The sequence below is a fragment of the Homo sapiens genome, chromosome 14 (assembly GCF_000001405.40).
Source record: "Homo sapiens chromosome 14, GRCh38.p14 Primary Assembly".
Classification (NCBI taxonomy): domain Eukaryota; kingdom Metazoa; phylum Chordata; class Mammalia; order Primates; family Hominidae; genus Homo; species Homo sapiens.
In genome coordinates this window covers 57,390,570-57,416,939 of record NC_000014.9, presented here as the reverse complement: position 1 = coordinate 57,416,939, position 26,370 = coordinate 57,390,570, and the positions used below count along the sequence as shown (strand labels likewise).

The following is a 26,370-nucleotide window of genomic DNA, read 5'->3' as shown; positions in this document are numbered from 1 at the left end:
TATCATGGTTTATGTTGTTTAAAAATGAGACTTTACCATTTAAGTACTGAAATACTTATGGATAAAATATAATCTCTGGGATTTGTTTTAAAATAATATGGGGTGGGTGGAGACGAACAGGGCCAGATTAGCCACGGCATTAGGCCTGATTTATAAGTATATGGGGAGTTCATTATACTTTTCTATTTACCTATGTTAATATTCTCCATATTACAAATGCAAAAAGATTTTTCTCTTCATTTGCTACAGTCTGGGCTACTCTTGTAAGATCTAACATAATATTTAGATAACTTTTCTCCTTTAAATAATGCTATAAAACTCTACTGAATAGACAGCCAGGCACGGTGGCTCACGCCTGTAATCTCAGCACTTTGGGAGGCCGAGGCTGGTGGATCACAAGGTCAGGAGATAGAGAGCAGCTTAGCTAACACGCTGAAACCCCGTCTCTACTAAAAACACAAAAAATTAGCTGGGCGTGGTAGCACTTGACTGCAGTCCTAGCTACTCGAGAGGCTGAGGCAGGAGAATCCCTTGAACCTGAGAGGTGGAGGTTGCAGAGAGCCGAGATCGCACCACCGCACTCCAGCCTGGGCAACAGAAAAGAGACTCCGTCTCATAAAACAAAAAACAAAAACTAAAAACCAAAAAACTCAATATGCAAAATACAAAATTATATATAAGTTATATTATATATACTATTAATAGCTACCATTTGTTTACGATGTACTAGGCTACTAGGCATTAAGGTAATTTATGTACATAAATTATTCCATTTATTCTTCACAATTAGCTCATCAGGTAGTTATCACTAAAAGCCCAGAGAAATTAAGAAACTTGCCCACTATCATCAGGATAAAAATAAACTTTGAACGTTCATTATTAGTTCCTAATATGAAGAAAATATCCCACAATGACTTAAAACACAATGCCCACATCCATATTGATATACTTCGTTTCCAAATTATAAGCTATTAAGTAGACTTGGCCAAAGACAAATTTGAAATCAGTTTACATTTACCTAGTTAAGTCAATATTTGGTGGACTTACAAATTTTATTTTATTTGCATTCACAAAGAAATCAAGTATAACGCTGACTATGCAGAGTCACTGTTTACAGCCACAGTTTGGAGGGAGGGAGGGAGGGAGGTGTCAAAAGTATAAAGGCAGCAGGTTCAGCCCCTTAAAAATGATCAATAACCATATACAATCATGAGAAATCCTGGCCTAAACATCGCAATGATCAATCCCCTACATGTTAGGGCATTGAGTCCTCTGAGTAGTTCACAAATTTTAGCAATTACTTTATATCTTAAACTTTTAAAAGTTTCATGCAACTGTGGATTTTAATGCAGCACAGTTCCTTAAAAATGTCAATACTTCCCTTACTGGAAATAGCGCATTCCTAAAAATACACGCATTTTTACAAATTATTACAACTAGCTTTCCCTCTACACAATATTTAAGTACCAGGAAATAAAACTTCTTAAAATGCCTATTTAAGGGGCAAAATATTTTGTTTTTGGTTTGTGCAACCTGCTGGCTTTTAAAAAGGGTGAGTTTCTTTGGCATGAAAGGAAAACATAGGAGACATACAATCTTTGCAGTTGTAAATGAACAAGTGACGGCACACACTTCCTAGAATACAAATCTCACTAAATACTTATACTAAAATCCCTCGGTCAAGGAGACCAGAAAAGTCTTATAAACGTTTTTAAGAAATTTCAAATTGATTTACTATGTAACACATCCAATAACAAATGTCTTTACACAATTTCTTTAAAAGCAGGTCCTTCTCCTAGTATATGGTAAATTATTTTATTTACAAAAATGTACATACAGTTCTCATGAAACTGAGGTATTAGAAAATTAAGATATTCATACAGCAAAGAGGTAGTCATAAAAAATCCATATCTAAAAATAAGCTTATTTCTTAGCATTATAAAAACCTTACATAGACTAAAACTATTTCATTATAACCCCCATATTGCATAGTTTAAATAGTAGTATTAGAAGATAAATTTGGCACTTCAGTGGTCTTTGTTATTTCTAGGTCTGTTTCATATTGAGATTAAACACTGACTTAATCCCCAAAGTAATGCATGTTTTGAGCTCTTTCCTCAACAGTGTTAACAGGTTGTACCAAGCCTGGCACTGTCTTTGTGTCCAGGTGTTTACTATGCCTATTTCTGCTCTTTTGATGAACTACACTTACCAGATGACCAGCGAGGGTCAAAGGTAATACACTGCGGTGATGGAAGGCAGAAAAATTAATCTGGTTCTTCTAGAAGTAACATTGGCCTTTGGCCTCATCCCCATAAGTGGATCTTGGAGGTTAAAAACATGATAGACCTCCATGTTCCAACTTGACCACTCATGAGATGACCAATCTCATTTAGAAGTGAAATGATTTCAAATTCATCAAAAATGAGAAATTATTAGAGCCAACTATACAAATATTTTAAGGCTAAAAAGGTAAGTCTCATCAGAAACAACTTTTGGCACTTGAATCTGCATCTCTGCAACCCAAGGAACTTCCAACAATAAAATCTGAAAGGGCTGCTTTTCTCAGAAAGGCTACATAACAAGGGCAGTGGTTGGTGGGGTGGAAAGTGGTCAAACACTGTATTAATGAAATATATTGTCAGTATAAACAGTTCAGCTATACTCTTGCTCAGAGGTAATTTTTAGTTGTGTTATTTTAAAAGATTTTTCAGAAACAGTCTTGCTATGCTGTCCTGGCTGGTTGCAAACTACCATCTCAGCCTCCCAAAACGCTGGGATAATAGGCGTGAGCCACCACATCTGGCCTAATTGTGATCCTTCCATTTTATCTTTCAACCTATACAAACACTCCCTTCCTGTTATTACTGCTTATCTAAAGCTCTGCTGTCCAATACAGTAGCCACAAGCCACATGTGGCTAACTTTGATTAAAATTACAAATTCAGCTCAATCATCCCACCCACACTTCAGGGGCTCAGTAGCTACACATGTGACTAGTAACTACCATACTGGGGAGTGAAAAGGACACATCTATCCTTATATAAAGTGTGACTGGACAGTAGTGATCTAAAGTGTAGCAGTGCTATATGCTTATGAGATCTTTTAAAAAACTTTTTAAAAGTTGCTTATAAAAAGAATATCATAGGCTGGGCGTGGTGGCTCACGCCTGTAATTCCAACACTTTGGGAGGCCGAGGCGGGCAGATCACTTGAGGTCAGGAGTTTGAGACCAGCCTGGCCAACATGGTGAAACCCTGTCTCATACTAAGAATACAAGAAATTGGCTGGGCGTGGTGGCATGCACCTGTAGTCCCAGCTACTCAGGAGGCTAAGGCACAAGAATTGCTTGAACCCAGGGGGCAGAGGTTGCAGTGAGCCAAGATTGTGCCACCGCACTCCAGCCTGGGCAACAGAGTGAGACTCTGTCTCAAAAAATAAATCTAACACCTCTGGGCTACAGGTTAATACTGATCTGTGTTTACTGGTGTGAAAAAATGGTATCAACCTTCTGGTTCTTATTTAGACCTTAGAGTGAATTTATGAAGTATTTCGAGTTCCACATAAGGCCCAAATAAAACAAACTCAGATACTTTTACAGTATTACTCTAAAGAATAATGTAAAGATTTGGCATGCATGATAAAAGTAATTTAGCAGTTAAATGATTAAAACAGATCATTTCATCCTTCCACTAAAATCCGAAAATCTTGACATACAGAAGTATTCACAGCTATTTAAAGCTCCTCACAAGACAGGGGCAAAAAGCTCTTTGGATATTGCTCTATTTTACTTTGGTGTCTTACCAAGGGTGGGATGGGGTGGGGGGAACATTACAGAGTGGCAGTGTACAGACAAAAAAGTAAATTAAAATAAAAACTGTCTTAGAAATAAACTGCTATGAAACAGACTAAAAAGATAAACTTTTGACTGAACACATGGAAAATGTACCGATAACTGACATATGAGTTGACTGAGTACTTTTAGAAAAATCAAGTTCATGTTATTTTCAAATTTACTTTGTCAGAACACACAACAGTGATGACAATTATGTAATACTTCTTCCCCGTAACTCTTAGATGAAAGGCAGGAAGCGGGAAACAATATATTGTTTGTTGCTGTTTTACTTAGTAGGTAAAAGCAAAACAACCCAATCATAAAATGCACACAGCTGTATCTAAAAGAAAAATGCAAACACAACTTAACCATACTTTATTTGACTGCATCTTATTTAGACAGCTTGCACATTTCAAATCCCATTAAATCTCTCTCCAAAAGGATATGGGACAATAGAAGAAAATTATGCAGCAATATCCAGTCAAACAGCAGTCCAATATTTTGAGATACACGTGATATTTTATAGATACTCAACTCATATCTGACGTCAATATAATTTATGGTTATGTTTTTACAAACCTGAAAGCCCTGTAACATTACAGCACTCATTTTAGTGATGTCATGGTGCACTGAAAAGTAACTCTGATGTACTACCAATTTGATTTTATCTATACTCCTGAAAAGTGATGAACTTCATGATTTTTAGACACCATAATAAATATACACATCCAGTCTTAGACATGTCAGCCAGTACCATAACACAGGGCAAGGTAAAGTTAAAACATGAAAAAACAAACTGCTTTACATAGATTTGTCGAGCAAGTGGGAAGGGTAATTTGGGAAAGAGGCAGAAAATATTAAAATCGATTTTTTATTTTTTCTTATTTTGCTGGTTTCAACTTCAAAAACTACCGTCTGGTTTCTGATCTGTGGACTTTGCTAAAGTAGTTTCATCCCAATGTACAGGAAATACAGGAAATTATAATCAGCCCACACATCAAAAATGATAGTATACCCGTTAGCTTCTTCAATACTAACATATATAGCTTCATGGTAGCATGTATAAAAATGTTCAGCAGTACCAACTGCCAAACCAGTGTCAGTGGATAGTACAGTCAGTCCTAAAGAGGCAGCACCCCATTAAAAGAAAGTTGCATCTATTTTGCTCAGTTGTAGCCAAGTGAACCCATGCTACCAATTTCAGATAGAATTGTTTTAAGCTTATTTAAGAAAAACAACAGCCTATTATCAAAAAGTAAATTACTGTTTGAGGCTACTTCAACCTGAATGGAGTCTTTCAGTGTTGGTGCTGGGTTTTCATGCTAGAGGTTAAAATTTTAATCTACTTAAGTAAAAATTTTTTTGCATACCCAATTAAAGACATAAGGCATACACTGACATTCAACATATTCCAAACAATATGGCAACCATCTGACTTTTTAGTCACACAGTTAACGTCATCTTTACAAACACCCAACCAGTTCAGTCAATTTGGCAATTTTGGAGGAAAAGGTCAGTATGATGGTTTCATTGACAATCTGGCAAAAACACTAAAATGGTTGAACCAATGATCTATCTACTTTACAACCATCCCTATTAGTGATTTAAGCAAATATATGTTCATCAACCATTATGTATCAACCAGCAAGTCAAATATAAAGAAGTGAAATAAAATTTGATGACATAAATGTTTTAGTTCCATTTCCTTCATATTAAATAACAAAAGCATCACTGTGATTGGTATTCTTCTAAATGCTAGTGCCTAAATGAAGTTTGACCAAAAACATATTGAAAGGCTGAGTACTGTGTGGTTACCATATTTTTATTATAACCAGTATTGTATTCTGCTCATTAAACTTTCAAGAGCAATATAAAAAGGAAAACATTTTCTTTAAAAATAAAGAACTATAAATAATCCCACCAGCAGAAAGTTTTTATTTTCAAATATAAATTGTGTATCTTTATTTTTAAAGTATTTGTTACTATGTTCACTTTCAAAACACTATACTGAGCAAAGAGCAGCTTTCCTTTAAAAAAAAAAAAAAAGCAACAAACTTTCCTGAAAAGGGGCCTTTACCAACTGTTAATGGAGGTAGGGTTTTTAAAAATACAGTAATTAGAGCCACAAAATATATTCCAAACCAAATACTAGAGCAGAAGTAGAGCATATTCAAATGAAAACAACAACAGATTCCTACAGTTTTCACAGAGAATGAATCTTTTTTCTTATGGGTACCTAGGTTTTCCAGTTAAATAAATTATCTATCACAGGTTTACTGACTCAATTGAAAGCAATTAACTGTAAAATTTGTTACATTGCACTGATTGGCCAAAACACAATGTAACTAATAAACATGGTGGCTGTTAAGAAAACCCACAGAACTCATTCCAAAAAAGATTTTCATTTCCCCCTTTTGTTTTTCTGGCAGAAGAAAAGCAAAGCTCCCCCAAGAATTTGCTCATACAAGTGAAAATAAAATAAAGCAGCTTAAAATGGATACAATGCACCTTGAAATTTATTTCCAAGACCAAGAACCTGAAGTGAAGCATTTTAAGAAATGAAAGCAATGTGAATCCAAATCAAGTGGGAAAAACAAATTCAGCTACTTTGTAAAAGCTGTTCTTCGCAGCGTAGCAGTAATTTTGATTAAATAAAATCATATCAACTTACACTAATTTTCTATTCTTTTCCAAAACTTCCCTTACTCTCAAAAGAAAAAGTGCATCTAAACCCCAGCAATTCCCGGCTCCATCAACTTTTCTTATCTCTTTTGAGCCATTTCTCAATTTTCCAAGTAGATTCAACTTGTTACTGTAAGGAAAAAGGGACTTCTAAAGTAAACCATTCTTTCATTCACCTGAAAAAAGTATCCAAATTATAAAAATCTGAAATAATTTATCAAATTTAGAATTTAAATAAAAACAAAAGTTTGCTTGCAAAGGCCTTAAAGAAAAGGAAAAGATAGCATGCATTCAAAAACTAGAGATGAAGACAAATATACTTATCTACACAGGCACTGGCAGACAAAATTTAATTGTTACCTTTACTCATTGTAAGACATACCCACCCTACATTTTTTTCATTCACTAATCACTGAGGTACCAATATTCAAGAATGGAAAATTTAATATTGAAAAAATAAAACCTAAAACTGAAGCGTCTCCCTCACCCACTTCAGAAAACTAGGGCAGGTTTTGTGTGAAATGTTAGTATACTTAAAGACTTTTACAATCCACATTGGCTTTTTTAAGGAACAAAAATTATGTTCCACTTACTGGTTCTGTGATAAAATGATCACTGTGTAAATAACATTGTCAGCAGACTTTGCAAATGAACACATAAATCTTGGCTATCAACTGGCACATCTTGTTGGTACCAAAAGAACTCCTGAAGTTTAAAACAATCTTTTAATTCAGAACAAATGTGCCATGCCAAAGTGCAACAAATATTGTGCGACACTCAATGAGACACTGACAGGTAAGAGCTGCATGGAAATTACTAAATCCACCTGCAAAGCAATTCTGTACAAATTGCATTGCATGCAAAGGTCGATTCTGTGCGGATGATAGTTGTTCCTTGATGTCAGTTTCTCAACGCAGCCACAGTTTAAGTCGCAGTGCATCAACTCCATTTAAATAGTATCTGAACAGCCTCTTATCTCGAACAAAACCAAGATTTTCATAAAGTTTCAAAGCGGACTTATTTGTTATTTCGGTTTCCAAAACAACCTTCAAAGAAATGAGAAAAAAACTAAGTTATAATTACACAATTTAAAAAATAATTTACCAACTAAACAATTTTTTAAAAAATCATACATTATTTTAAAAATTGATAGTGAAAACAATAAATAATATACAGAAAGAACTCAAAAACAGTCATCAAGATTGTAATATTATATTTGGGTCAAGGGCTTGGAGGACCACTGCAGATTTATCTTCTGTTCTACTGATTTGTGTAGTTTGAAATGTTTAGCAATGAGAGTATGTTTTATACTAAAACAAAGATTAATTATTTCCCTGTGGGGAAAGGTAAAATGACTACAGATGAAAATAAAATCAACAATCAAAAGTGCTGGTTTATTTCCTTAAAATAATAAGCTATATTATTATAAGCAGCTATTCAGATTGACTTCCAACTTCTGTATTTTCATTAATATGTCATTTATTCTGGCAATAACTACCATATTTGTCTGGAGTCTCGACCAGAGTCTGCAAACTATAGACTTTGGGCCAAATGTGCCTGCTGTTTTGTAAATAAAGTTTTAGTCAAACAGCCATGTTTATTTGTTTACATGATGTCTGTGGTGGCTTTCTCAATACAAGGGCAGAGCTGAGCAGTTGCCACAAAGACCTATGGTCCACAAAGCCTAAAATAATTACTAGTGGGCCTTTTACCAAGAAAGTTTGCTGAATCCAGACAAGAGGTATTCAAAATGTTACAGTGTATCATAATCACCTGAAGGGTCTGTTAAAATAGATTGCTGAGCCCCACCCTCAGAGTTTATGAGTACGTTTGCAGTAGGACACAAGAATCTGCATTTTTAATATTTTTAAATTGCTAGATGATGATGTTGCTGCGGTCAAGGGACCACATTTTGAGAACCACTGGTCTATATAGCAAAGCTTAACAGAGGAACACATAGTATTAACTTTCATTTAAGTCTTTTGAAATATTACTGAGCCAGTGGCCCTGACAATGAATAACTGGTATTTTTGAAAACTGCGATTTTATTTTTACCTCCCTCTAACACCCTCTACCCCATCTTCCCAACTTTTACACACGTAGCTCTATTTGCCTTTTCAATTGTTTCTCAACTTATTTCATTGAGAACTATCAACACAGTGAGCCACAGTTACTATTGGGTGTCATAACCCTCAAGTGTTTGGAGTGGGTGGGGGGGAAATGGCAAAGTATAATTAAACAAAGGCCCAAGTGAAGCATAAGTCTCTTCCTGTTCTTTCTCAAGCTATCAAAAAGTCTGACAAGAATGCAAACAACTGATGCAAATAATAAAGACAGTACCTCAACTTATATCCAAAATTGAACTCATAATCTGCTCTTCCTCCTCAATTCCATATCTCAGTAAACAGGATCACCCCCCACCACACCAATGCCTCAAACCTGAAACCCAGGAGTCATCTTTGAACCTCATTCCTCTCCAACCACCTATATGCATCCAAGCACTGATTATTGTCAATTCTCCCTCTTAAATCTCTAAGTGGTCCTCTTCTTTCTATGCTCGATATACCACAGTCCAAGCTGCCATCAACTCTCACTATAATTACAAGAGCCTCCTAACTCAAGAGGTCTCCCATTCTCTCTAGAGTTAGGGTGATGCTCTTGTTAATTCTCTACTTAAAACCGTTTACTGATTCCCTCTTGTCCTCAAGAGAAAGTCCACAATCTAAAAATAATATCAAGAGACATAAAAAGTCCATCAATATATTGGCCTCAGCTTTGCTTTAGGTCTCTCTCTTCTTGCTTTCCATGCTCAACACTGAATTTTCAGTTTCTGGAACCCACCATGATCTTTCCCACCTTAGAACATTCAAATAAACTGTTTTCTGTCTAGAAGAATGCTCTTCCTATCCTCCTCTCTTTTGGCCCTACCTTGTCACTTCTGGATTGGGTACAGTGCCCCTTTCCTTTTATATCACCCAGCAACATTCTGCACCGTTCCTATGACACATTCTTATTCAACATTTGATGAGTGGTATGTCATCTCTCCTAGCTGGTAAGCCCAACAACAGCAGGGACCAATGCTAAATCTAAACCTTTAAAAGATCTAAAATGAAGTAATTAACAGTTCAGGATCAAGAAAACACGCTCCTAAGAAAACCTAAAATACAAGTTGTACAGCAAACAAATTGGTTTAAGTAAACGTCAATTTCTCTCTGCACTTAAAAAAAACACAATTTGGCCAGGTTTGGTGGCTCATGTCTATAATCCCAGCACTTTGGGAGGTCAAGGCAGATCACTTGAGCCCAGGAGTTTGGGACCAGGCTAGGCAACGTGGTGAAAGCCCATGTCTAAAAAACCTTAAAAATTAGCCAGGTGTGGTGGTGTGTGCCTATAGTCTCAGCTACTTGGAGGGGCAGAGGTGGGAGGATCACTTGAGCCGAGGGGGTTGAGGCTGCAGTGAGCTGTGAGTGCACCACTGCACTCTAGCCTGGGTGACAGAGCGAGACTCTGTCTCAAAAAACAAATTAAAATACTCACACATACACACACAGACATAATTAAATTTCTAGTAACGTATGTCATACTAGAGTCTGTAACACCACAGTCTGGTCAATACAAGTTTTTAGTTTTTAACAATTCTCTTGGGTAATTCCTGCAATTGTTATGAGGTCCAGCACCTAATTATAGCTAAAATGTTGAATCAAAGCAATTTAATATGAGAAACACTAAAGTCACAACAACTCAAAACTTGGAATTGATTTCACGTAAATAAAAAGTGACAATTTTAAAATATGACAGCTAATATTTATTGGAGCTGTACTATGTGCAATGTAAAGCATTCTATATGTATTATGTAGTTTTATTTTCACAATAACCCTATGAAATTGATGTGGTTATCCATTTTACAGATGAATAAAACTCAAGGCCACCAACAGAGCAAGGACAGAACAGAGTCCAATTATGAACTAAAGCTTAATAGTAACTACTCTACTGTACCTCCCCCTCATTTCCCAAAGTAAAGCAAAGCAGTGACTGGGAAATCTAACCTACTTAAGACAAGATGAAATGGATTTTAAGTCCACCATCAATATTTAGCAATCTAAAATATTCCAAACACATCTGAGGCTACCACCACTACACAAATACACACTTAAAGTGTGGTTAAGAACTGAGTTCAAGTTTGTTTGCATCCTAATATATTAATGAAATGAAGCTCAATTACATAGAAAAAAGTTACACCAATGTCTAATCTAGTCAAAATGTAAAGATTCTCCTGGCACACTCATATTTTCTAAACAAAGAGATTCTTTCTTTAGAAAATTATTTGACACAACAGAAAAATGCCAGGATAAAGTAACTAATTTTTAATTCTTAAATTCTTATAAACATATTAAAAGAATATCTGAATTTATATTAGAAATTCACCATAAAATGAAGTTATTTTGGTCCTAAAGAAACTTGACAGAGTTGAATTCTACCTAACAGAAAAAAAAATTACAGTGAAATTCCACCGATCCTCTTAGCAACAGTAACAGATCATTATCAGGATAAGCCAAACCATTACAAAACATTACTGCTTAAGATAGTATTTTTTAATACTGTAGGCTGGAAGCTCCTGGAGAGCAGGCTTGTTCACTGCTAGAACTTTAGCACTACCACACTGTCTGGCACCTAGAAGCCCTTCCACTGCTATTTCCTGAATGAACAACAAACAGTACTGCTCTTCACAACGTATCTTTAAGATCAGAATTAACATCATGTTGCATAGACAAAGAGAGAGACCAGAAAAAGTTAAATGGCCTGCCTACAATCACACAACTGCCAAGTGACAGAAGATAAATATGGAAACCAGGTGTCTCATAATCAGTTATTAGGCCAAACTACTCACCCAAAATCCTTGCAGCTTAACTAACCCCACTGTATTCTGTTCTTTACCTTGCAGGCTCTATCACATAGCATAATGTTTCCAGTGAAACTAAAGATGTTTTATATATATATATATACACATATATATTATTAGTAAATACATAATAAACACAATAAATATAGTCTAATTAAAAAGATAAAAAGTAACCTTTTATAATGGGGGAAAAAGAATGACTGTACCTTTTCTAAGTTGGACTTTTCTAATTTAGAAAAGTATAAGTTATTTCAAAAAATAACTTAGATCTTCTTGGCTCCTAATAATCTAATTTACTCATTAGTGCTAATGTGATCTATTTTATTCTTTTAATTGTACAAAATAGAGTCAGCTACTATATTATCTAAAATTTACCAAAATGTCTTTTGCATTACCTTTATATTGCTAGAAATAAGTAGCATTAAGTAGGTCAAGCAAATCAGGTTGCAGGGAAAGTCATGGGTTTGAATAGCAGATTGTAAACAGTCTGCCGCAAGTTACATGGCATACTATTTACAGAAGAAACTGTCTAGTAAAAATAAATGTACGCAACAAAAAAAGAATGGAAAGAAAACACCAAATTGGATGTGTGATACTGTTTGGCTGTGTCTCCACCCAAATCTCATCCTGAATCCCCATGTGCTGTGGGAGGGACTTGGTGGGAGTCTCTAAATCATGGGGCAAGTCGTTCCCGTGCTGTTCTCGTGAGTGAATTAAGTCTCACGAGATCCGATGGTTTTAAAAAGAGGAATTCCCCTGCACAAGCTCTCTTCTCTTTGCCTGCCACCATCCACGTAAGATGCGACTTGCTCCTCCTTGCCTTCTGCCATGATTTTGAGGCTTCCCCAGCCATGTGGAACTGTAAATCCAACGTGGTACTCTTTCTTTTGTAAACTGCCCAGTCTCAGGTATGTCTTTATCAGCAATGTGAAAACGGACTAATACAACGTGCTAGAAAGGTAGGTAGTGAACTTTCTTCTTCTGTTTCCCAAGTTTTCTGTAATGTTCATTACGGTTTTTCAATGGAAAAAATGTCTTTAATATAAATAAGCAAAAATTAGATGACGTGATTTTCAACTAAAAATATTTTAAGATACTATAAATTCCATTAAGAAATCCTAATTCCACTGTATTCTGATCAGTTATCTCTGGCTATTCATATTCACAGTAATCGACCTAAAAACTCTTTTTGTGTGTGTGTGTGTGATGGAGTCTTGCTCTGGCCCCCAGGCTGGAGTGCAATGGCGCGATCTCGGCTCACTGCAACCTCCACCTCCTGGGTTCAAGTGATTCTCCTGCCTCAGCCTCCCCAGTAGCTGGGATTACAGGCACGCACCACCACACCTGGCTAATTTTTGTATATTTTTAGTAGAGACGGGGTTTCACCATATTGGCCAGGCTGGTCTCGAACTCCTGACCTCGTGATCCACCCACCTTGGCCTCCCAAAGTGCTGGGATTACAGGCGTGAGACACCGTGCTCAGCCTAAAACTCTAAAAACAAAACAAACAAACAAAACAAAACAAAACAAAAACAACCTTGAAGTTTTCAGAGATTAAGATTTTAAGGATATCAATGGCTTAAAAATCGAGGCACTATTCATCATACTGATACTGATCAATCACCTGCCCATATTCTAATTTACTTCAGGAAAAAAAGTACATAAATGTAAATGGCCACCAAGTAGGTTGATTTTAGGTACACAGATCCTATTTTAAAATCTACATCATAGAAAACTCATTCATTCTATATGTATTTATCTTATTCTTTCTTCTATTGTGAAACATGAACCTGAGATACTTGTCCTAGCCACTACACATCTGGCAGCCAGAGCGTGCAGGGGGTGTAAACAAATTTAAGCCAGATCAGCATACTGGTAATATATTTCTTACTCATCAAGTAACAAATCCACTTGTTTCTTGTTTTGATACTATAATTTTTTAGTCAGCTCCAAATACATAGAAAATGAAAAAATTTTTTAGCTATACTGTTTTAACATATGTCTAATTCTGATATGAAAAGTTGGGAAACTTACAGTAAGACAAAATGAAAACATCAATTAGACTAGGAACAGTGCAGCATTATTTGGAGAAAAACATCTACCTTTCAATTCTGTGATTACTAATAACTGGCTGAATACTCTGAGCTTAAAATGACTAGTAACAACAAAGAACAATATAAACATGACTCAAGGTCACAAATTCTGTATACAGAATAGAAAGTAAAAATTGTTTGATGTGCACAGTAAGGTTTCACAGAGATTTCCAATGTATCTTTTTTTTTTTTTTTTTCCGGCCACGGAGCACAGTAAGGTTTCACGGAGATTTCCAAATGTATCTCTTTCTTTATGAGAGTCTCACTCTGTCTCCCAGGCTGGAAAGCAGCGGTGCAATCTTGGCTCACTGCAACTTCCACCTCTCGGGTTCAAGCGATTCTCCTGCCTCAGCCTCCCGAGTAGCTGGGACTATAGGCGTGTGGCACCACGCCCAGCTAATTTTCGTATTTTTAGTAGAGACGGGGTTTCACCATGTCGGCCAGGCTGATCTCCAACTCCTGACCTCAAGTGATCCGCCAGCCTTGGACTCCCAAAGTGCTGGGATTACAGGCGTGAGCCACAGTGCCTGGCCAAATGTACCTCTATTAAAAGGTTCACAGATTTTAAAATCTCTCTCTTTGTAAGAATTTTAAAAATAGCAGAATAACCTAAGTAGTAGAAAATCTAATTTAAAACCCTTCTGAAATGTCTTTCACAGATTTTCAGATAATTTGTCAAAATTTCTAAACCCTTTAAAAGAAAGGAAGGTTGGTCTAAATTAATGAAAGTGAAAGCACATGTTTATTTGCCTTTTCATTAATCGCTGTATTTTTGGAGATTTATCATTTCAAAGGCATTTTAACAACTTGGTTAACCCTAAAGATGCCTTTTTTTAAAAAAAATCCTACTATGAACAAAAATAAGACAATTGGTGTTTTTAGAAAGCACACAGAAAGTTCAGAGAGAAAGACAAGTTAATAACAATACAAGTCAAAATTTAAAAGTACTTAAACAAGAGAGAGAGGGATTACAAACATCATGCTGGAAGCACAGAACTGATCATTCAAAAAATATTTACAAAGCAGGTACTCTATCACAAATGTCACACTAAGCACTAAGAATACAGCAACAAACAAGAGAAGGCATCTCTGTCCTACATTGTGCTAAGGCACTGAACAAGTGAAATTAAGTGCAATAATTACAAAAAGAGTAGCAAAAATAACAGAAAAGTGAAATGGATTCTGTCCAGAAGGATCAAGAAAAACTTAAAGGAGTTGTTGGTATTTGAATTGGGTCTTAAAGACTAAAGTATTTTAACAAGCAAAGGAAAACCAAATAGCTACCATATCTTCTAAAGAGTAAACAAGAGTTCGTATGGCAAATTATTCGATCTGAATAACACTGGACACAGATAAGCAAAATTTTTATACCAAGACAAAGTTATCTAATCCAGAGACAGAGGTATTCACAAACTGCAAAACCATAATCATACAAAAGGAGAAAGTTCACAAAGCTATCCCTGATGTCAGCCTAAAGATTAAGTAACATTCATTGTTTCAAAAGAAAAAATGAATGAATCAGCATTAGCTTTTTAGGCTGGAAATGAAGTTTTTCTACCATAAAATATATCATTAATTTAGAATTTAACCTTGAGACCAAAACAATAAAAATCTTCATATCATTCCTGACATCTTTACATGAAAAGCCAACACTATCCAAACCTTTGAACAGTTAAACAAAAGCACATAGCCTGCCTCACAAGTAGTAACTTAGGATAGCAAGTAGGATAACTCAGAAAAGGTTTAATCATAGGGAACATAATACTCTCTGCTCTTAACACCCCTGTTCACTGGATCTGCAGAAGATCAAAACATGATCTATTATCCCGAAGATTTCTCCAAGCTGTTAAGCAACTTTTGTGAAACCTGACTTTTCTCGATGAGCTGACAAGCAGTGTGGCTATGGTCCAAACATGGACCTATACTCATGAACATATCTGATCCAATTCTCTCCTCGAAATTTCAGTTACCAGTCATGTAAAGCTTTGGCGACTGCACCTTTTGCATTATAATATTAAAAGCTGTGAACAATGTGAGATCCTTCAACACCTGTGAATTATTTCTTTGGAGTAAAATTAGATATTTTTAAATCCCAGGATGACTTCACTGTGCCACCCACTATGTCTGTAGGCCTTCTCATATAACCACCACTTAGAATGGATCTGTCAGAATAGAGCCTAATGTGAACAAGGAGCCTGAGAATGCTCAGCAGTAAATCTCTGTATTCTAACACGGAAATGCATTCATGAGATATTGTTAAAAGAAAAAAGCAATTATTATTGCTAATAATTATTGAATAAGAATTACTTCATTTGTATTTTTAAAAACTATATATTTGCACATAGGTGTGTTTAAAAAATGAGAGAAAGCATTTCAAACAGTTAACAGTAGCAACAGGCCAGGAGCAACGGCTCATGCCTGTAATCACAACACTTGAGAGGCTGAGGTGGAAGGATCACCTGAGGCCAGGAGCTGGAGTGGTCTCCAGCTGGACAACATAGCAAGACTCCCATCTCTACAAAAACAAAAAAAAAACAAAAAAAAACCCCACAACAACAAACAACAACAAAAAACAGTAGCTATCAATGGAAAGATGGATAAAGAGTTGAAAAGCATGAGAATGGTAGAAGGGACTTTGTTAACAAAAACACATGCATACATATATCATATATGCTGACTGTGTATAAATTTTGTACCAAAACACTCCATTTCTTTTAAGTCACTAAACAAATTATTTATTAAGGTCAACCTTTTAAAAAAACTTACCCAATTTCACATATTTTGAGAATTCTCTAAGGCACATCTGACCTCTAATAATAAAGACAATTGCTACTTCTATTACTCATAAAAGTACTAGTACAACTTTGCTCCTCCTTAGTCACCACTGCTATGTTAAAGACATCTATACTTCTCTAGTTTATACTTGTTCCCTTCCACACTGTGCAACAGTAAATGTTAACATTCCCAATCATCACCAATATTTATCATGCACCTACTATATGTAGAAACACCGTGCAGTAGGATACAAAGAAATATCTGCCATCAGACCTTACAAACAAGCTGAAGAGAGAAAATGCTCTTATGTTAATGCGCAGATAGCTCTACTCTTTAAAAGTGGTTGTCTTCCCCCTAGCCAACATTGTCATTATTTAATTCTGAAAAGATTATTTTCAAGTGTGAAATGTCCTCCATATAGACTGACAGTTTCCCATTGTCAGAAACTAAGGCCAATATGTAAGCAAATTATAACAGAGTCTGTAATAAGAGCTACCTTAAATAACTGATGATAAAGCCTCTGAATACCAAAATTGTGTACTGAAAATGTCTAAGATTCCCCCCACACATTTTGAAGAAATTTTAGCTCCATTTTAAAATTTGTTCTAGGTCAAAAATTCATGTGTTTTTAAATGGAATATAATTTTCCCCACAAGCTGCATTTGTATAGTAACACTGCAATGAAATCTGCAATAAATTATAAAATATTTATTAAAAATACCCAGAAAGAATAATGCCCAGATAAAAAATATTAAACATTTTTAAAGACTTACCTCATCACAGTCTCCCTCAACCATGGCATATATAGCTTTCTTAACCAAGTTAGTACCTAGAATATAGATCTGAGTATTAATGAAGGAAAAATGTATTTCTTAAAGATAACCTAAATTATAATATTCGTAAGCACAGAAATGTCAAATGCTAGTTTCTATCTTGAATCCAGATACACGGATTACCTCAAATTAAATGGGAAAAATTTTAGCTATAAGCTAAGAGAAGCCAACAGAACCTATACATAACAGTATGTTTCCTCTTGAAAGACCTATCTCCCAATATACTCCTTTTTCTCAGACATAATTATTTGCCACAAGCAGGAGTTTGTTCTATTGTGTTTGAAAGCAGTAGGAAAGCGAAAGAGAAAAAGACAAGATATGGTATGGCCAGAACAACGCAGGAACTCCCCGTGAGTTGGCCAGAACTTACTGCATAACCCAAGCTGATCTCACCAAAGATCCTTCAAACTCCCCTGGACACAAGGGACAAGACAACCTCATCAGAACTGCTGTTACCCACAGTAGGTTCCTATAAACTTTACAGTGAGCACGATGAAGTCTGGCAAGTCTGGCACTCCCAATGATGTCAGTGGTGTGTCTGTACATGTCTAGCAAAATGTATCCTAGTTTAGGGTCAAATATAATTGGTATATTAAAAGGGAAAAAATTTGCCAAATCTGATTTTAAGAGCAGACAGACAAATTTTATTTAAAAACTCTTAGGCTGGGCGCAGTGGTTCACGCCTGTAATCCCAGCACTTTGGGAAGCCAAGGCAGGTGGATCACTTGAGGCCAAGAGTTCAAGACCAGCCTGGCCAACATGGTGAAACCCCGTCTCTATTAAAAATACAAAAAATTGGCCAGGCGTGGTGGCTCACGCCTGTAATCCCAGCATTTTGGAGGCTGAGGTCATGGCAAAACCCCATCTCTACTAAAAATACAAAAAACTGGCTGGGTGCAGTGGCTCAGCCTATAATCCCAGCACTTTGGGAGGCCAAGGTGGGCGGATCACCGGAGGTCAGGAGTTCAAGACCAGCCTGGCCAACATGACGAAACCCCATCTCTACTAAAAAATAAAAAATTAGCCAGGCATTACAGGTGGAGGGTGCCTGTAATCCCAGCTACTTGGGAGGCGGAGGCAGGAAAATCACTTGAACACAGGAGGCGGAGGTTGCAGTGAGTCGAGATCATGCCACTGCGCTCCAACCTGGGCGACAGAGTGAGACTATCTCAAAAAAAAATAATAATAAAAAAAATAAATCAGCTGGGTGTGGTGGTGTGTGCCTGTAGTCCCAGGTGCTTGGGAGGCTGAGGCACAAGAATTGCTTGAATCTAGGTGCTAGAGGTTGCAGTGAGCCGGGATCACACCACTGCACTCCAGCCTGGGCAATACAGCGAAGCTCTGTCTCAAAAAATAATAAAATTAAATTAAAAACTCTTAATTTTCAAGCCATGCATACAAGTATGCACGCATTTTATGGCCCAAACAAAGTATGTCTGAAGGCCAGGATGCAACCCAAAAGCCACTGGTTTCTGCCCTCCAAACTAGCCAAACAATTGGCTATAATTTATCATGAGTCCTTATCAGTGCTTTTTAATGCATCAAAGGCTCAAACTTAGTCCATAAAACAAGCCCAATTCATTAAAAATCTTAGTGGAAAGCTGTAACACTGCAATAAAGTTGGCTAAACCTAACATATTAAGTAAACCTATTTATAGTTACTTCTCATGATACCTAGGACCGTGTGTGAGTCTTAGGTTGGACAATAACACTTAATAGTTTTTAAAAAACATGAAAGTGAAAAAACTAATGATTAAATACTGGTACAGGTATTAAACTTTTTTTTATGAATACTCAGCTAAAGCACATCACAAAATTTGACATGCTTAGACAAATGCTTGTCTACCCAATTCTCCACTGTGAACAAAGAGCCACTAGGTCCTAGAGAATAGAAGAGTGGTTTTTTGAAACGGAGTCTTGCTCTGTCACCCAGGCTAGAGTGCAGTGGCACGCTCACTGCAACCTCCACCTCCCAGGTTCAATCAATTCTCCTGCCTCAGCCTCCTGAGTAGCTGGGATGACAGGTGCCCACCACCACTCCCAGCTAATTTTTGTATTTTTAGTAGAGACAGGGTTTCGCCATCTTGCCCAGGCTGGTCTTGAACTCCTGACCTAGTGACTCACCTGCCTTGGCCTCCCAAAATGCTGGGATTATAGGCGTGAGCCACCGCACCCGGCACCTGGTGGCCTATTGAGTTTTATGGCGTTATTTAAATGACAAAAGTTATCTAACCCAGCCATAGAAGAGTGGTTCTTAATCAGGCTTACATCACAGTCACCTAGGGAAGCTTCAGCCCCACCTCTGACAAGACAAACAAGAGTCTCAGGGTGAGGGGCCCAAATACATGTTTTTAAACCACCCACATGATTCTAATGATCATTATAAATCATGAGTGTTAAGATTAACTAAACATGTCAGGAAAAGTAGACCCAACAAAAAATTAAGTTTGGGAATTACAAGAAACAATCAATTCTCATCTCCTGATCTTTCCTGAATTGCAATATATAGTTGATGACTAGCACCAAGTAATGGTAACAATTTGTCCATAATTTTGGCTTGATTGAGGTCCACTTAACCCAAATACAGACAAGTGCTTGAAGGCTGGCATGAAGGACCATCATAATGTAATTATAAATTGCAGTATTTCTTGTGGTACTTAGCATAATGCAAAGCATTTTGAATGTGATTAAAAAAATCTGCAGGTGAAAGCTGATGATCGGCTACTTGTTAAAACGAAAAACTGTCAAACAAAACATTAATAAAGAAAAAATTCATTTTAAGAACTTTTTAAAAATACCATTTTGAAATTAAAAATTAAAACCCGCCTTAATTTTCTTCCCTTAGTTTCTTTCATTTCTACATACTTACATTTAAGTCTTTTATTTCAAAACACAACAAAAATGAAAATAGCTTAGGCATTCTTTCCATAAAATAATATTTTTCTTACCAATGCCATTTCTCCTGTATTTGGAATCCACGGCTAACATGGCTATATAACCTCTGCGGAACATCTTTTTGTGCATATCCAACTTGCAAACGATGGCACCTACACACTCCTCCCCTACCATGGCCTTAAAAATAAACAAACAGTTATGAAGAATACATTGCCATCAGGTACTGCACAATTATCCAGAGAAAACAACAACCAACCATTGGTAAGCATTTTCGACGGGGGAAGATAATGGGAACTCTTGCAAGACAGCAGTCACAGAAGTTTCAGAAATCTAAATCCCCTAACTCCTTTAAATGTTCCAGTGTTAAAATTTCTCAATATTCTTTAGAACATGAATTTTTTATGCTTACTATTAAAGCCTAGGGAAAAAAGACAAGATTCCACAAGGTAAACATTCAAGTACTTTATAAGATTACATATGAGGTGCTTAAAATCACAATTATTTGCAACAAAGACCTAAGGTTCTGGAAGGGGAAATATGCAAAAAAAAAATGATTATAAAGAAAAAGTCTATTCATTAGGACATAAAATATTGTAAAACTTGCCCATCAGCAGAATGTAAATTTAAATATATTCAGTTAAATTTAGTAATAATGGCCAGGTGCTGTGGCTCATGCCTGTAAACCCAGCACTTTGGGAGGCAGGCGCAGGCAGATTGCTTGAGCTCAGGGGTTTGAGATCAGCGTGGGCAACATGGCAAAACCCTGTCTCCACCAAAATTACTTAAATTAGCCAGGTGTGGTGGCATGCACCTGTAGTTCCAGCTACTTGGAAAGCTGAGATAGGAGAATGGCTTGAGCCAGGAAGGGAGAGGCTACAGTGAGCTGAGATCGTGCCACTGCACTCCAGCCTAGGTGACAGAGTGAGACCCCATCTCAATAAAAGAAAAAAATGAAAATAAATTTAATAATAAAGTTTTAGTGAAAGCCAGATATAATACATATTTACACCTGAATGGTAGATTTCGATCAGGAAAAAAAAATTAAAAATTTTCAGAAAAAGCACAGTTTATAAGGTATTGCTTAGACCATACCCAAGAGGTTTTTGTTAATATATGTAAGTGTAGCATAGTCTCATTTTTAGGATACTCCTGATAGTGTGGATAACTGTCATAAAGCTCTCAGAATATTTATAGTTCAAAATCAAAGCTTTATGTTAAAAGCTTTAATTTTACAGAAATTTCTATTTTAATAAAAACGTACAGCTTTCCAGAGTATTAAAAGCTACATGTTAAATTCTAATCATCCCCCATTTTCATTAAGATTTCTAGTGTTACCATTGAAAATGTTTTTCAAAAATTCCAATGCTGATAAAAAGTTCTAGTAACACAGTATTTCTGGTAAATATAAATAGGGCAGTATCTCCAACTGTTTAAATAATGTGTCAGTAAGAAGTCTGTTTTCCATAAATTAACTTTCCAGAAGAAACTATTTCAACAAAAGCAGAAATGAGTCAAAAAACTAATAAGTAATGTCCAATTTATAATTAATACATATTTTAAATTTGTGACTTTTTTAGTCTGTCATTCTGTAAATTGATTAAAAGGCCTTTTTTTAACTGTGGAGAAATCTTTTCAGCAAGATAATTCTAATCCATTTCATGCAAACCTAAACTAGGTCGGAAAAATCCTTTTGAAGGAATATGAAATTCAACAACCCACGCTAATTCATTTCTGGTTTATCACACATTCCAAAACTATTTTGGGTCAATAAACCTCTGAAATTGTTATTTCTAATTTTTTCCCTCACAATACATCAATCTTTTAAAAAAATTTTTTAAACAAAGACCTGAAGTATGCACAAAAATCGCCTCGACCAACTCTGAAAGCTTTTTCTGATTTGAAACTCACTTCAAATATATGTGCGTATATACAGACACGTATAAATACATACACATACATAAAATTATCACAGACCAAATGGTATATTTAAAAGGGCCAGAAAAAATTTTGGCCTGACCTCATAAGCCAGGCTCAGGTGAAATGAAAACCTGTATTAGATTGATGATACAAACCTCAGAATAGCTACACCTTATATAAAACTATCCAAAAATGAGGAAAAATTAAAACCATTAAACACAATACAACTGGACAGTACTTTCAATCTGAACAGGAATTTCAAACAAATCTTTGTCCTTTGAGCATGGAATAAGCAAACAAAATATTAAATTAGTTCATTCTTAAGACCTGATTTCTTCCTAATTTAGAATCTATAGGAGCAAAAATCAAGCTGTATACATCATCTAAAAAGCCCAATATATCATACACCATTACGATGACATTAGTAGTGAAGACCAATGCTGCATTTTTTTTTCCTGATAAACTACTCATGAATATGTGGTACATTTACAGGAATCACTAAATTGCTTGTCAATTTTTCCAAATAAAAGCTCTGCATATACATTTGGAATTCACGCTATTAAATGTATTTTTTCAAGGATGGGAACTGAAAAATCCCCGGCAAGATTAAGACTTAACACTACAAGGCCAAAGGGTTGTCAGTCTATAAAACTATGAAAAAAATAAAGTGAGAGATTCCCAAATTCTAGAACACTACAAATAGAAAACTGGAGGAAGCCAAAAAGTTAAATTTAGAACAAATAAATGGAAGTACTATGTTACATTTGCTGAGAGTAAGTTTAAGAACTTCAAAAAGATACCAACAACTGAAAATGTTACTATGAAAACAGGTAAAGATAAAATGGTTAAGTACAGAGTAACTGAAAGTGTCTCACATTTGTCCTTTTTTTTTTTTTTTTTTACATCTTTTACAATTAGGAAGAATCATAATAAGCTATCATTTTTATTAATCAAGTATTGGCAATTTTGTAAGGTTCAACCCCATATACTCCATTGACCCATTACAGGTTATCCACGGAAAACGGAACATTTTGGAGGTTTTTAATCTCTTGAGATTGATGTAAGGGCAACTGTCCCTTGGTGAAGATAACTTGGTGACACAATAATCTTCACTGAATGGATCAAGGGTATGTCATTTTTCAGGTTCTTGTTTGTTACCATAATGAGAGGCCAGGAGAACTGGGTTCTAGCTTTACCCTTCCGACGGTAAATATCTGGAGATTGAAACATTTTAAGTCACTTTGGTTCTTAACTTCTTTTCAATCAAAAAACAAAACAAAACCTACCCCTCTGTCAGTAAATATCTGGAGATTGAAACATTTTAAGTCACTTTGGTTCTTAACTTTTTTTCAATCAAAAAACAAAACAGAACAAAACCTAAGTTGGGCTAGATTATCTCTAGGATGGCTTTCAGTTCTAAAAGGATATGATTTAAAATAAACAGACATTTACGCATCTGTATTTTTAAAAAAATAGTTCCTATGGGAAACTTAAATTTAAAAGTATGCCAAGATAAAGGCTTCAGTTTTAAATGGCCTGGTTGTTTTTTTACTGTTTTATTATTGTTTAATACCTCCTGATTCATACTTGCACCAGTAAATCTTATAGGTCAACCACTTGTGCATATCGCAATTCTAGATACTCAGAATATTAAACAAACTTGAGCTACTAAAGGCTAACATACACATTAGCTGGTGAATTGGGAGGGTTCTACATAAAATCAAATCTAAAGTTTACTAATATTGTTGACCAGAGTCTAAAATAGCAAACAAGTTGAGAGAGGCTTAGGTAACTATCAGGACTCAAAGTTGACTAAATATCATATACACAACTATTTCCTGGAATTGACAGAAAAACATCTATTTCAACTTGAAATGTGACTCAATCATCTACTTCTGTGGGTTAACTTACAACTAAATCTACAATTTTTAGCAATTACAGTGGCATTTGATATGACATTTATAATAGTGCTATAAATCATTTTCTCATATTCATTGACACAGACATGTCTTAGAACTATTCTGATACAATGCTTAGAATACTGAAAGAGCAGTTTTCAAGAATATAAAGTAGTACCCACAGTTTTAACAAATGTACTGAATTGAAGTTTAAGCAAGTTAAGACAGAAAATAGAACTACCATTATCTACAATACCCAGGTTACATTTTCAAATTATCACCAAGCTAGAGAATCAAAAAGATAAGTATTGTCAAAATATCTTGCAGGGAATTACCAAGTGAAACTAAGCCAATGCTAAAACATTAAGTAATGGTGGCTTTTCCCTTCACATATTAAAAAATATTCCTTAAAAGGATGTCATCTTTCTGTAGTAAAATTCAACAGAAACAATATGCTTGTGAGCACATGATACAAAGCATACACCTGCAGTCAACGTTTAAGTTAAAGGGTTCATACAGACTGAAATGGGTCAATATTATTGTGAAGAAATTACTGGTACTGCCAATACTATGTTAATTTTTAAAAACCGTCCAAAAGTCTTTCACTTACGTGTAATATTATTGTCAATTATACTCTACACAAGCCAGTGTTACTAGTGTTTGGCCACATCTACAACCAGTTTCTTAAATTAAAAAAAAAAAAATCAGATCGGTAACAATTTCACACAAGTTTTCTACATTCCACAAAAGGGTATTTTGTTCAAGTTTCAGGAGTCTTTCAGCCACCAGAAGTGTTAGTAGCGCTTTCTGGAATGGAGTACCAGAAAGCAGGCTGGCTACAACTGTTAATTGTCCAGTTGAAGTAAAGAGAAACATCTCCATAATTACCGAAAATGCTTGTAAGATTTAATTCTCCAATATGACCACACCAAGTTTGCTGACATCCATGTTCACCACAACATGTTTATGCATACACTCTTCCCTGATTATGGTTGTAATCGAGAGACTAATAAGGCCTGTATCTGAACAGAACCATGTTCAAATTAAATGACTGTAAAGTGTTTGAGGATGCGGGCGGGTAATTAAAGACGGTTAAACACGATTATAATCTAATGTAAACAAGACACAAGACCCCCACCCCAGTGAAACACGCCACCATACAGGCTTGCTGCAGTTACACTAGTATCACGTTAACCCGAATCATGAAGTCTTACCTTCAAAACAATTTCATTAAATAACTAGGAATGTGTACAGCACTTGACATCATATAACGTACTATGATACGCAGCAGGAGATATCCACTGCCACATTCTGGGCCCTCACTCCCTGCCCCGCACAGTCTCGATCACTGCTGGGTTCACCCTCTTTTTATTCTATCCACTTACCAAGAAGCACAGCTGTGGCCAGTTGTGGATAAAATATCTATAGGTATAAATGGAGTAGGGTTCGGACAGATCTTTGGTGATCAGTCTCATGATATCGGGCATTTGTAGCTCGGATTCATATCGGACATATCGTATCGTCCGATCCTCCCCAGGCTCAACCTCCCTGCCCGAAGGGCTTCTTAAGCTGCAGTCGGCGGTCAGGGACGAAGACAGCAGCCGCACCTGCTCGTCTTCCTCCTCCTCCTCCTGCTCGGTGCCCTCGGCCAGTCCATTGCGGGCCGCCGCGGGATCGCTCGCCGCCGCTGCCTCCACCGGGCTGGGGACCGCAGTTCTTGCATTACTAGAGAGGGAGTGAGGGGGCCTCTCGCCCGAGTGTACCCCGGCTCCTTTTGTTGCAGTCGCTCTGGGGCCTCCGTCAGGGGTGGCTGTGGTCGCGGCCACCTCTGCTACGCTCAGGACCTTGCTCTTGAGGGAGGCGGCCGCCCGGAGGTGCCGCAGTTCGGGGCTAATCAATCCGTTGAGCTGCTGCTGCTCCTGCGGCGGCTGAGGGCAGCGGAGGCACGGATGCCCCTTGGCCGCCACCGTCGCCGACTCTCCGCCCGCCGGGCTCCTGCTGCCGCCGCCTTCGTGCTCTTCGTCGTCCTCCTCGTCCTCGCTGCAGCAGGCGAGGGCGGCCCCCGCCGGGAAGGGACAGCGGGGCTCGACCGCCGCCGGGGCCGGAGGTGCTGGTGGTGGGAGGAGGCTGCTAGGCCCAGGCGGTACCTCCGCCATCCTAGAAGCGACACAGACCGAGAGGGGAGGCCATGAAACCCGGCCGAGGAGCGCGGAGAACAGGGGGCGACGGATGGGGGGCGGCCGAGGTGGGGGGAACAAAGGCAGAAACCGTCCCTCACGGAGCTGCCCCCCAATTCCCCGCCACCCCCCCGCTCTTCAGCGCCGCCCAGCTGCTCAGCCGGCCACCGTCCCCGTCCGCCCGGGCCCACCCGCCAGCCCTGTCACTCGCGGCCCCTCCTCACGGCTCACCCCGCACGGGTCCCCGCCGCCGCTGCCGCCACTCCTCTTCCTCCGCCACCGCCGCCGCCTCCTTCGCAGCCGCGGCAGCCTCCACAGCCGCCAAGGTTCTCACTCAGCCGCCGTCGCCGTAAAGCGCCTCAGCTGT

At 37.2% G+C, this 26,370-nt stretch overlaps 1 protein-coding gene across 1 annotated transcript, besides 3 other annotated features; it reads right to left on the bottom strand.

The window, feature by feature from the left end:
- Nucleotides 1-1,033: 1,033 nt before the first annotated feature.
- NAA30 (N-alpha-acetyltransferase 30, NatC catalytic subunit) lies at nt 1,034-26,354 on the bottom strand. The gene is made up of 5 exons (NM_001011713.3): nt 26,235-26,354; nt 25,212-25,983; nt 20,065-20,188; nt 17,057-17,112; nt 1,034-7,561 (listed from the first exon to the last, which is right to left on the bottom strand). Exons 2-5 carry the CDS (start codon nt 25,980-25,982, stop codon nt 7,424-7,426), a joined length of 1,089 nt encoding a protein of 362 aa, NP_001011713.2. The 5' UTR covers nt 25,983; nt 26,235-26,354; the 3' UTR covers nt 1,034-7,423.
- Nucleotides 25,375-26,370: an enhancer, noted in NCBI's record as "H3K27ac hESC enhancer chr14:57857288-57858283 (GRCh37/hg19 assembly coordinates)". NCBI's record gives its function as "activates a minimal SCP1, AML or CMV promoter by ChIP-STARR-seq in naive H9 embryonic stem cells {active_cell/tissue: H9 hESC(naive)}" and the evidence as "EXISTENCE:reporter gene assay evidence [ECO:0000049][PMID:30033119]".
- Nucleotides 25,827-25,976: a silencer, noted in NCBI's record as "silent region_5793". NCBI's record gives its function as "represses an Ori minimal core promoter by ATAC-STARR-seq in GM12878 lymphoblastoid cells {active_cell/tissue: GM12878}" and the evidence as "EXISTENCE:reporter gene assay evidence [ECO:0000049][PMID:35858748]".
- Nucleotides 26,107-26,246: a silencer, noted in NCBI's record as "silent region_5792". NCBI's record gives its function as "represses an Ori minimal core promoter by ATAC-STARR-seq in GM12878 lymphoblastoid cells {active_cell/tissue: GM12878}" and the evidence as "EXISTENCE:reporter gene assay evidence [ECO:0000049][PMID:35858748]".

Excerpts from the sequence above, each read along its gene's own strand:
- NAA30 (NM_001011713.3), bottom strand. The coding sequence starts at position 25,982 with ATGGCGGAGGTACCGCCTGGGCCTAGCAGCCTCCTCCCACCACCAGCA. Across the intron at positions 20,189-25,211 it reads GGCCACAGCTGTGCTTCTTG|GCCATGGTAGGGGAGGAGTG; the intron begins GTAAGTGGATAG and ends TTTATTTTTAAG. Across the intron at positions 7,562-17,056 it reads TTGAGGGAGACTGTGATGAG|GTTGTTTTGGAAACCGAAAT; the intron begins GTAAGTCTTTAA and ends ATTTCTTTGAAG.